A 12,468-nucleotide genomic window follows, 5' to 3' on the forward strand; every position below is an offset into this window, starting at 1 on the left:
AGGTGGATCAAGCTTACAGAAGAATGTGTGCATGTGGGAGAAGAAAGTAAAAGGCTTAATATCCTAATAGCGTCAGTGTTCTCTTCCTTTGTTAGCACACAACAACTTCATTCTAAGCTTACTCTACAGCCGCAGTTACCTTTTCTTCATGAAAATCCCCCTTTTTTTTTTTTTTTTTGGGTAAAATTAGCATTAACAATCCATACAGTTAAGGGCAAGCTCCCCAAATGATTCTTTGTGTGGATTTTTTTTTTTTGAGACAGTCTCACTCTGTCGCCCAGGCCAGAGTGCAGTGGAGCGATCTCGGCTCACTGCAACCTCTGCCTCCTGGGTTCAAGCAGTTCTCCTGCCTCAGAATCCTGAATAGCTGGGATTACAGGCACGTGCCACCACGCCCAGCTAATTTTTGTATTTTTAGTAGAGATGGGGTTTCATCATGTTGGTCAGGCTGGTCTCAACTCCTGACCTAGTGATCTGCCTGCCTTGGCCTCCCAAAATGCTGTGATTAAAGGCATGAGCCATTGCGCCTGGCCACTTTTTCTTTTTTTTTAAAGAGCTAACATGTTTTTCTTTAAATTATACTGGGGAGTAATTTAATGAAGAATTTTGTTTTTTAAGGTAAAAAACAGACTTATGTATAGGACATATCTCTTGATACATTTTAGATTGTAGAGTTTTTATTTGTGAATAAAGGACTGTTGAGAGTGCTGTAACATCTTTATTTTTTTGGAGACAGTCTCGCCTTGTTGCCTGGGCTGGAGTGCAGTGACTTGATCTTGGCTCACTGCAGTCTCGAGCTCCTGGGCTCGAGTGATCCTTGAGACTTAGCCTTCTGAGTAGCTGGGGCCATAAGCACCATGCCCAGTTAATTTCTTGTTTTTTGTAGAGATGAGCTCTCCCTCTGTTGCCTAGGCTGGCCTTGGAACTCCTGGGCTCTAGTGATCCTCTCACCCAGCCTCCCCAAAGTGTTGGGATTATAGGTGTGAGCCATTGCACCTGGCCTGATGTAACATCTTTTAAAAGGCATTGGGTAACAGTGGGGCCTCTGAGTGCCTTCCTGGCTGTGAGAGCTGTAGTCCTGTTAGGGGCCGAGTGAGGACCACTTTGCTCTTGCATTTAGAGGATACCAGAATAGGGGTGGGGGCCCCCACTGGACTGGGGGAGTTTTTCCTGTTTTGCAGAGAGCTATGTATCTTTTTGTTTTTTTAAATTTTTAATTTGCTAAATAAAAGGGACAATGCACAGCATCGAGCACACAGCTGCTGGGAAGCTGTCCTGTCCTCACCCTCTCCTGTCTCCCGCAGGCGTATGTGGGCTCTGCAGTCATGACCGATGAGACATCCGTGGTTTCCTCACCTCCACCATACACGGCCTATGCTGCACCGGCCCCTGAGGTAGGGAGAACCCTGAGCCTCCAGGTGAGGGAAGTTTGGGGTCTCTGCTGCTGTCCTGCTTTGTTTTGTTTTTTTAAATGAAATTAGAAATGTACTCTAAACCTTTTCTTCTTAAAACAGATGATTTCTTATCAACGTTTGTTTTCATGAAATGAAGCAACTATTTTATATAGTTCAGCACATTATAATGTGCTGTATTAATGTGTAACACGTTTTTAAGATAGATCTAAAAATGCATCATGTTAATGATAGTTGCCTTGGGTAATGAGATTTTGATGATCTGTAGTTTATATGGAATGAATTATTTGAATTCTCCTTATAGTCAGAAAAAAATGCTATATTTTAGGGAAAATAACCTTAAAAAATCATGTCAAATACATTGGGATGTCCTCTTGTTGGGGTGCTGACTGAGCTAGTGGAACGTATGTAAGTCTGTTGTGTGGAACACGCAGCTTTTAAAAAAATTGAATTTTGAAATAATTATAGATTCACAAGAAGTTGCAAAGATAGCTTTGAGAGTCTCATGTGCTTTTTATGTGTTTTCCCCATTTGTTAATATTCGATCAAATTAAACCCAGGAATTTGGAATTGGTGTGGTATTTAAGAGTAATCCTGTGTCATTTTCTCATACGTGTAGATTGTGTAGCTACCACCTCAATCAAGATAAAGAATTCTTCACAAAATCTTCCTGCTGTGACACCCTTTAATAGTCATGCCATCCCTCTGCTTCCCTAAACCCTGTCAATCACTGAACTGTTCTCCAGCTCTATAGTTTTATCATTTCAACAATGTCATATAAATGAAATCATATAGCACGTGGTCTTGGGAGTTTAACGTTTTTCACTCAGTATTTGCCCTTGAGATCTGTCCAAGTTGCTCTTTGTCAATAATCCTTTTTATTGCTGAGTGGTTTTTTTTTTTTTTTTGGGATGGAGTCTTGCTCTATCGCCCAGGCTGGAGTGCAGTGGCTCGATCTCGGCTCACTAAAAGCTCCGCCTCCTGGGTTCTCGGCATTCTCCTGCCTCAGCCTCCCGAGTAGCTGGGACTACAGGCGCCCGCCACCACGCCCGGCTAATTTTTTGTATTTTTAGTAGAGACGGGGTTTCACTGTGTTAGCCAGGATGGTCTCAATCTCCTGACCTCATGATCCGCCCACCTCGGCCTCCCAAAGTGCTGGGATTACAGGTGTCAGCCACTGCACCCGGCCCTTTTGAGATGGAGTTTCGCTTTTGTTGCCTATACTGGAGTGCAGTGGCACGATCTCGGCTCACCACAACCTCCACCTCCCGGGTTCAAGCGGTTCTCCTGCCTCAGCTTCCCAAAGAGCTAGGATTACAGGCATGAGCTGATTTATTGGCTTTTCCTTTTCTCGGTTGTGCTTTTGCTGTCAGGTTAAAACTTAACATGACAAACCTAGCCCAAGTTTCCTAAGATTTTCTCCTACATTATTTTCTGAAAGTTTTATAGTGAGGTTTTATAATTATTCTGTATTAATTTTGAATTAATTTTTTATAAGATAGATGTCTTTTTCAGGGCTCTGTTGAGTGTATCTCTTTCTGAGGTCTGTGGTCTGCTCCATTGTTCTGTATTGTTACCTTCCTTTGATCCCACACAGTCTTAATTATTGCAGCTATTATAAAAAGTCTTGGAACTGGGTGGACTGATCAACACCCTCTTTGTTCCTTTTTGGAAATGTTTTAGCTATTCTGGTTCCATTAGCTTTCCATATACATTAGAATAAATTTGTTTATATCTACAATGAAATCTTGCAAGGCTTTTGCAGGAATTGCCTTAAACCTGTGTCATATTTATTTGGAGAGTAATGACATCTTTATTGAATGTTGAATCTTCCAGTTATAAACATGGACTGCATGTGTATTTAGATCCTCTTTGATTTTTTTCATCAGCATTTTGAGGTTTTCAGTATAAAAATCCCATACATGTTTTGTTAGATTTATAAGTGTTTCAGTTTTTTTAGTGATTGCATATGGTATTACATTTTTAGTTTTAGTTTCCTTTGTTTACTGCCAGTATAGAGAAATAGAATTGATTTTTGTAGGTTGATCTTGCAGCTTGTAAACTTTCTCTTTTTTTTTTGAGACAGAGTGTCTCTCTTATTGCCCAGGCTGGAGTGCAGTGGCGCGATCTTGGCTGACTGCACCCTCCGCCTCCTGGGTTCAAGCGATTCTCCTGCCTCAGCCTCCTGAGTAGCCGGGATTACAGGCACGTGCCACCACACTAATTTTTTGTATTTTTAGTAGAGATGGGGTTTCACCATGATGGCCAGGCTAGTTTCAAACTCCTGACCACAGGTGATCCACCTGCCTTGGCCTTCAAAGTGCTGGGATTACAGGCATGAGCCATGGTGCCTGGTCGGCGCCTGTAAACTTTCTAAGCTCACTTACTCTATTTCCTTTTTCTGTAGATTCTTTGGGATATACTACATAGGCAATCATGTCATCTACAAATAGGAATCTGTTTTCTTTGTAACCTTTATGCCTTCTGTTTCCTTACCTTGCCTTGTTGCCTTGGTTAGACCTTCAAATATTATGTAGAATAGCAGTAGTGAGAGAAGACATCCTTGCCTTGTTCCTGATTTTAGGGGGGATGTATTCAGTGTTTTTTTTTGAGATGGAGTCTCGCTCTGTCACCCAGGCTCTGGAGTGCAGTGGCGAGATCTCGGCTCACTGCAAGCTCCGCCTCCCGGGTTCACACCATTCTGCCTCAGCCTCTCTAGTAGTTGTGACTACAGGCACCTGCCACCATGCCCGGCTAATTTTTTTATTTTTTTTATTTTTAGTAGAGACGGGGTTTCACCATGTTAGCCAGGATGGTCTCGATCTCCTGACCTTGTGATCCACCCACCTTGGCCTACCAGAGTGCTAGGAATACAGGCGTGAGCCACCGCGCCCGGCCAGTGTATTCAGTTTTAAGTATGCATTCATTTATTATGAATGTACTGTTTAATTCAGTATTTAATTAGTACTGAATTCAGTATTTAGTTTTACATATGCATATATTTAGTATTTAATGCATTCATTAAGTATGCTGTTAGCTGGAGGTTTTTTATATTTATTCTTTATCAGGTTTAGAAATTCCCTTTTTCTAGTTTCCAGGAGTGTTTATCATGACTGGTTGTCAGTTGCTTGCCTGCCTGTCTTCCTGCCTCCTCCCTCCCTCCCTCCCTCCCTCTCTCCTTTCCCCCGCCCGTCCCCTCTCCTCCTCTCCTCTCCTCTCTCCCCTGACCCCCTGAGAGATGAGGTCTCACTCTCTTGCCCAGGATGGAGTGCAGTGGTACTATCATTAGCTCACTTCAGCCTGGAATTCCTGGGCTGAGGCAATCCTCTTGCCTCAGCCTCCTGAGCCACCATGGCTGCAAAAAAATTTTTTTTTTTTGTTGTAGAGACAGGGTCTTGTTCTGTTGCCCAGGGTGGTCTTGAACTCCTGGCCTCAAACAATCCTCCTGCCTGGGCCTCCCAAAGTGATTTTGTTAAATACTTTTTCTACAGTAATTAATATGATCATGAGATTTTTCTTTTCTTTTTAGCCTGCTAATATGGTGGATTATAGTGTTTGGTTTTCACATACTGAACCAGCCTTGCATTCCCTGGAATAAAGCCTACTTGGTCATGGTGTATGATTCTTTTTATTTATTGCTGAATTCAGTTTGCTAATATTTGTTAAGGATTTTTGCGTCTATATTTATGAGGGATATTGGTCTATAGTTTTCTTTTTTTGTACTTTGTTTTGTTTTATCAAGGCAATACTGACCTTATAGAATAAATTGGAAAGTGTTTTCTGCTCTTTTCTTTTCTGGGAGAAATTGTGTAGAATTGGCATTAATTCTTCTTTAAAATTTGGTAGAAATCTCCAGTGAAACTGTCAGGGCTTGGAGATTTCTTTTTTGGGAGATTTTAAGTGACAACATCTTTTTTCTTTTTTTCTTTCTTTTCTTTCTTTTTTTTTTTTTTTGAGACGGAGTCTCACTCTTGTCGCCCAGGCTGGAGTGCAGTGGCGTGATCTCGGCTCACTGCAAGCTCCGCCTCCCGTGTTCACGCCATTCTTCTGCCTCAGCCTCCTGAGTAGCGGGGACTACAGGCGCCTGCCACCACACCCGGCTAATTTTTTTGTATTTTTAGTAGAGACGGGGTTTCACTGTGTTAGCCAGGACGGTCTCGATCTCCTGACCTCGTGATCTGCCCGCCTCGGCCTCCCAGAGTGCTGGGATTACAGGCGTGAGCCACTGTGCCCGGCCTCTTTTTACTTTTTTTGGCCTAACCAACACACATCTATTTGTCACAGTTCTGGAGGCTGAAAGCCCAAGGTCAAGGTGTTGGGCAGCATTGGTTCTCCTGAGGCCCCTCCTGCGCTTGCACATGGCCTCCTCCTCCCTGTATCCTCACATGACCTTTCTTCTGGGTCCACCGCAGATACAGCTTTCTTATTAGTGACTGGTCTACTCAAATTCTCTAGTTTGTATGGAGTAGGTTTTGACAGTTTGTAGTTTTTGTGGAATTGTTCCTTTTCTTATAGGTTGTCTGACTTAGATGTGTAGAGTTCTTTATGGTGTTTTCTTATTATCCTTGTGATGTCTGCAGAGTCTATAGTAAAAATCCTCCAGTTCATTCATTCCTGATACTGGTAATTTGTCTTTGCTCTTTTTGATAGTTTACTAAAGGTTTTATTAATTTTATGAATAGTTTCAAAGAAATAGCTTTTCGTTTTATTCACTTTTTCTGTCTCTCAATTTCATTGATTCTATTCTTTTATTTCTTTCCTTCTGCTTGCTCTGTGGACTTTGGTTTTCAAAAGTTTGACTATAATGTGTATTTGTGTGGATTTCTTTGGGATTATCCTGTTTGGTATTCATTCAGCTTCTTGAATATATAGGCTTGGGGTTTTGCTAAATTTGGGAAATTTTAAATCATTATTCTTGAGTGCTTTTCCAACCTCAGCCACTTTCTACTCTCCTTCTGGCACTCTGATAACATCCCTGTTAGTCTCATGTGTCCCAGAGATGCTCATTTTTTTTTTTTTTTTTTTTTACTTCAATCTATTGTTCCTCTGTTGTGCTCTGATTGGGTAATTTCTACCCTTTATATTCATGTTTATGGATTCTTTCCTTTGTCATCTCCATTATGTTGTTGGGCCCATTCATTGAACTATTTAAATTGGTTATTGTATTTATTAGTTCTGAAATTTTTATTTGGTTATTCTTTATATCTTGATATATAAAAAATTGAATGTATGTCTTTATATACTTTTTACTGAGATTTTTCTGTTTTATGGTAGATACTTTAAATTTTTTATTTATTTCAAGTGTGTTCATAATTGCTTGTTGAAAGGTTTTTATGATAGCTGCTTTAAAAATCTTTGTCATCTTTGTGTTAGTGTGTTTTGTTGTTGTCTTTTCTCATTTAGTTGAGGTCTTCCTGGTTCTTGGTATAAATGGCTTTTGATCAAAAGCTGGACATTTTAAGTACTGTAAGACTCTGAATCTTATTTAAATCTCATGTTTTAGCAGACCTCCTTCTGGGGAGCTGCTTTATTGCTGCCAGGTAGAGGTGGAAGTCCGGGCTCGCCTTGAGCCTCAGTTGACACCCATGGGCCAGGTTTCTTGTCACTGCAGAGGGGGTTGTGAATTTAGGTTCTGACTAGATCTCCACTGAGCCCACCCTGTCTGAGAAGAGGAAAGGCTCTTTCTTATTGCTTCCCCCGTAGCCTCCACTGATACCATGATTGCCACTGAGAGGTCCTGAAAGGACTCACTTTCCACTTGGTCTCTGCTGATCCCATCTCAGTGGAATAGGGAGGACACCTTATTTCTGCTGGGTGGGAGTGGGGTTCTGGCTCCCCACATGGTCTTCATGGACACCACCCAGCAGGATGGGGGTGTTTTGTTTCCATCTGGTGGGGAAGAAATTCTCAGCCCCCCACTCAGTCTTATTTGACGGTGTTCTGAAGGCCCGGCAGTGCCTTGCTATTTGGCCTGCTGAGCATGGAAATTCAGGCTCTTCACACTTGGCGTTTGCTGATGTGAGGCTGAAGGCTTTTATGTGGTGGTTCCCTGGAGTAGAGAGGTTATTGTCTAAAAATGTTCTGTCTTGCTAGGTTGCCCCTTTCCTTCTTAGATTCTTTGTTAAAGAGAGCAGCTCTTCTCAGGGTCTTTTTGGTCTGCACTGATCGGCACTTCCAGCTTGCCACCTTCCCCATTATCTAGTTTGGGATGTGTGAAGCAAAAAGGAAACCCAGGTCCTCCCTCAGGTGCTAAAGTTCCTCTCCCGTCTGTCTTCTCTCTCTTCAGTCTTCTTGTGTTTGCTTTGTATATAATGACCAGAGATTGTAGCTGTACTTAGCAGGAGGACTACAAGAAAGAATGTCTACTCCATCTTCTAGAAGTGGGAGTCTTGTCTCCTGCTTTTGTAAGATAACAGGTTTAGATCTACACACATGTTTGCCTGGCTACAACTCTGTTCTCCCTTATCAGAGCACTTGTCACAGAACGACATTAGTTGTGCAAGTATGTCTGATCTCCTCTCAACCTGTGAGTATGCAAGGAAGGCCAGTCTTTGATTTCAGTATTTCTCAGCACACAGTGGTCATTCACTGCCAGTGGAGGTGGGTCTGCTGCATGTTTCTCGCCATGTCTTTTCATAGGTGTGTGCAGCCAGAACACCATCAGTCACCTGCCCAGGTGCCACACCTCAGGGCACCCTCATCTTCCATATTGTGCCTGGAATTGCTGAATTTGGGCCAGAGAGGGTTCCGCTTCTAGGCTGGCTTTGCCTGCAGAATAGTGGTTTTGGTGAATCTCATTATCACCTGGTCCAACCTTATCATTTTACAGATGGGCAAAGGAAGGCCCAGGTGACTTACTGAAGGTCAGGTTAACAGCACAGCTGAATTGAAATCCAAATCTCATGCAAGTCCAGTTCTCTTCTTTTGTTGTGTTTTTCTGCCTTCTTCATTCTGTAGCCTGAAAGTGGACTCCAATTGTAGCTTTTGTTTGTTTTTTAGTAATTTTAAAACGGGGGGCCTAACCACACTGTTTCATGTTTTGTTTTGTTTTTTTTAATTGACTGTTGAATTTTATTGATTGCAACCTGGAGACCACAATTTTAATACATTACCAGAGGTTTCACAATTGTATTTCTAATGGGCCTGTTTCTTTTCAGCAGGCTTATGGCTATGGGCCATACGGTGGTGCGTACCCGCCAGGAACTCAAGTTGTCTACGCTGCGAATGGGCAGGCGTATGCCGTGCCCTACCAGTACCCATATGCAGGTAACTCACGCCGGCCTTTCATTCCTCATTTCTCTCCATTTGCTGAGTAGACCAGAGAGACCTGTAAACGTTTTTATTTTTCAGTTTAAGGTTACATGAGCTATATTTTCTGGTTGTAGACTACAAATCACTCTGTTACTATGCTTTAAGAAAGCCTTTGGTAGTTTCATACTGCTCTGCAAAGCTACCGTAGGCTTGATTTTTAGAACTTGGCTTTTGTGTGTAGATTAGTTCTCAGAGAATTTTGTACTTATTGGGATTCACTTACATTAAGAAGCAACCAAAGTAAGAGGCCTATTTTAAGGGATGAGAGGTGACCTTTCAGCTGTTCTCCTTCTGGTGATGTCCTTGGAAAGTTGTCACTACTGAGGTGATGTTCTGTTTCACAGTGGAGTACAGGCCTGGAAGGGCTTGTATTTATTCTGGGCTTGGAGTCTGTTCTTTCTGTTCTTCACCTCACATGAAACACTTGGCAGGCATGAGTAACTGGTGTAGAGGTATCATGTCCAGGTCTCCTGGGCAAGGGGGTTGGCAGGGTGGAGGTGTGGGACAATGCTGGCCACTGCTGGAACTGCAGTGAGGGTGGGGAGGGCAGAGCTGTGGCCGATGGCCACTGTGAAGTGAGGCTGGGCAGGCGCAGTGGGCACAGCACCATAGTGCAGGATGCACAGGTGGGTGGGCTGGAGCCAGAGGCTGAGCTCAGGAGAGACAGGAATGTGGGGGTTTGCAGGAGGAGGAGTAGTCCCGGGCTGTGAGCAAAACTAGCATGGTGTCTCAGCGCAGAGGCAGTGGGAGACGAGCTGGTACCAGAAACGTGGGTCACTAATAGTGGTGCCCAGAGAAGTCAAGGAGGCCTCTGGGTTACAATCTTAGATGGTGTCCTTGTAGTTGTTGGTGGTTGCTTTGGCTTTTGATGCATTTAGCACTTAAAATGGATTCTGGAGTAGAAATAGAGAAATCTCATACTCCTGTGTTCTGGGAATCTGAGGCACATTCACTCAACTAGCACGGACTTTGGAGGATCCTGCTTTGCTTGACTTTTTTTCATGTCAAGTTGAAAACCATTAAAATGATAATAAGTAGTCCGGGCACGGTGGCTCACGCCTGTAATCCCAGCACTTTGGGAGGCTGAGGCGGGTGGATCATGAGGTCAGGAGATCGAGACCATCCTGGCTAACACAGTGAAACCCCATCTCTACTAAAAATACAAAAAAATTAGCTGGGCATGGTGGCGGGCACCTATAGTTCCAGCTACTCGGGAGGCTGAGGCTGCAGGATGGCATGAACCCGGGAGGCGGAGCTTGCAGTGAGCCGACATCGTGTCACTGAACTCCAGCCTGGGCGACAGAACGAGACTCCGTCTCAAAAAAAAAAAAAAAAAAAAAGTAATTATGACAGATTAAATATTTGTCCATTGTCTTGTGAGCCTAGCACAAATACATTTGTTTGAATTACAGTAAGTCCTCACTTAACATCAACAGTAGATTCTTGGAAACTGTTACTTTCCATGAAACAACATATGATGAAACCAATTTTATGGTAGACTAATTGGTATAAACAAGAGTTAAGTTTCTGTTGCTTATTTCTGGTCACAAAAACATCACCACTTCTAATATTAACCATTGAAATTAATGTGAGCCATACATACATGTAAGATTAATAAAGACAAGTAAAATAATTACCTAGTTATTTCAGTTCATGGCCCATGGGTGGCTGGACCCTCTCCCAGCAGCTCAGGGCTTAAGGTGGGAATCCACCATGGATAGGATGCTATCTCATTGCAGGGCACACTCACCCACACCCCCTCTCACTCTGGGACAGTTTAGATACGCCGATTCACCTAAGGGGCACATCTTTGGGATGGGAAGGAACTGAACTATCCCAAGAAAACCATGCAAACATGGAAAAAACCTTCACACTCCACACAGGCGGTGCCCCAGAGGGGAATCCATTCTTTTCTTCTTATCAATGTTATAATGAAACTACATTAAATGAAACAGTGTTATTTGAGGACCTCCTGTACTTCCTCCATATAAAATATTTTCTCCTTATAATCATGCATTGTATTTCTAGTCTTGTTTTTAAATTATATGTATTGAATCCCAAGTGCTATGTAATACTCCTAAGTATTTTTAGTAATTGCCTATTATCATATTGGGTGATGTATTATTAAACCTTCCAGTATTGGCTGTTTTTTTCCTCTCTTTTTTTTTGCTATTGTAGATACTTCTTTGAACATCTTTAATCATTTTCCTTTTTGTTCTTATTGAATATGCATTAGAATATGTTTCTTTTTTTTTCTTTTTTTTTTTTGAGATGGAGTTTCACTCTTGTTGCCCAGGCTGTTGTGCAATGTCATGATCTTGGCTCACTGCAACCTCTGCCTCCTGGGTTCAAGAGATTCTCCTGCTTCAGCCTCCCAAGTAGCATGTGCCACCACACCTGGCTAACTTTGTATTTTTAGTAGAGATGGTTTCACCCTGTTGGCCAGGCTGGTCTCAAACTCATGACCTCAGGTGATCCATCTGCCTTGACCTCCCAAAGTGCTGGGATTACAGGTGTGAGCCACCGTGCCTGGCCTAGAATCTAGTTCTTTTTTTCTCCCCCCCAACTAGACTCTATCTCTATATGCAGGCAGGCCCCAACTCAGGATGGTTTGACTTAATGATTTTTTGACTTTCCGATGGTGCGAAAACAATGTACATTTAGTAGAAACCGTACTTCAGGTACTCCTACCCCCATTCTGTTTTTCACTTTCAGTATAGTACTCATTCAGTTACATGAGATCTTCAACACTTGATTATAATAGGCTTTGTGTTAGTTGATTTTCCCAGCTGCAGACTAATGTTAGTGCTCTGAGCAGTTGAAGGTAGGCTATGCTAAGCTATGATGTTCGGTAGGTTAGGCGTATTAAATGCATTTTGACTATGATGTTTTCAACTTATGATGGGTTTATTGGGAGGTAACCCCATTGTAAGTTGAGGAGCATCTCTGTTAACATGTCAGAAGGCATAGACATTTTTGACGGTTTTTTGGGATATGATTTAAAAATGTAAACGTTTTCAAACATAAAAAATAGGGATGATGGTATAATGAACTATCATATGTCCATCACTGGCTTCAGCAGTTAACCATATCATGTCTAATCTTTTATCTCTACCTCAGCCTCCTTTCTCTACCTCTGGATTAGTTTAAGGGACATCCCAGATTTTTAATCATTTCATCTGTTAATATTACATTAAATCTGGATAGCATTTTGCCAAGTTGATCCCAGAATGGTTTACCAACTTATAATGCCACTAGCAGTTACTGATGCAGTGGTTTATCTGTGATCCCATAAAGATGGCCTGTTGTGCTCTAAAAGTTTTGATAGCTTCAGTAGGTCTCAAGTGGAATCATCGAGTTGCTTTAGTTTATATCACCTTTTATGAATAATTTTCCTTTGCACATTTTTCTGTTGGGATCCCATGGGATGGAGAGTTTTAAGCCCTAGCCTTGCCACATGAGAGCCAGCCTCTTTCTCAGCTTCCAGCCCACAGAATAGGGCTGTTGCCGCTGTTTCTTACTGTATAGAGAGCACAGATATTGCAGACGTGGTTGTTTAGGGCACTTCTGGAAATGAGTCCATCCTTGCCCTTGGCTCTCGTCAGTAGAGTAGAAGTAGCACTCTCACAGGCAGTACTCGGAATGCTTGCCGCCCACATAAGGGGCTGAGTCAGTAGGCATTATGGCCAGCCTGCCTCAGAGTGGTGACCAGGCAGCCCCCAGACTTGCTTGCTGTGGAAGGGTC

The 12,468-nt window shown here is 42.5% G+C and overlaps 1 protein-coding gene across 20 annotated transcripts in view; it reads left to right on the forward strand.

Annotated features, from left to right (window-relative positions):
• PLEKHB2 (pleckstrin homology domain containing B2) overlaps nucleotides 1–12,468 on the forward strand; it is a 44,510-nt gene that overhangs the window by 26,262 nt on the left and 5,780 nt on the right. For 6 of the 20 annotated variants that reach the window (NM_001309452.2, NM_001267062.2, NM_001100623.2 and 3 more), the window contains 2 exons: nucleotides 1,305–1,394; nucleotides 8,570–8,678. In NM_001309452.2, coding sequence (NP_001296381.1) covers nucleotides 1,305–1,394; nucleotides 8,570–8,678 — 199 coding nt within the window. Of the gene's footprint in view, nucleotides 1–1,304; nucleotides 1,419–8,569; nucleotides 8,679–12,468 lie in introns of all 20 variants that reach the window. The other 14 variants (XM_011511385.4, NM_001267065.2, XM_017004408.2 and 11 more) reach the window with 6 other exon arrangements.

Source organism: Homo sapiens, chromosome 2, assembly GCF_000001405.40.
Source record: "Homo sapiens chromosome 2, GRCh38.p14 Primary Assembly".
Taxonomy (NCBI): Eukaryota; Metazoa; Chordata; class Mammalia; order Primates; family Hominidae; genus Homo; species Homo sapiens.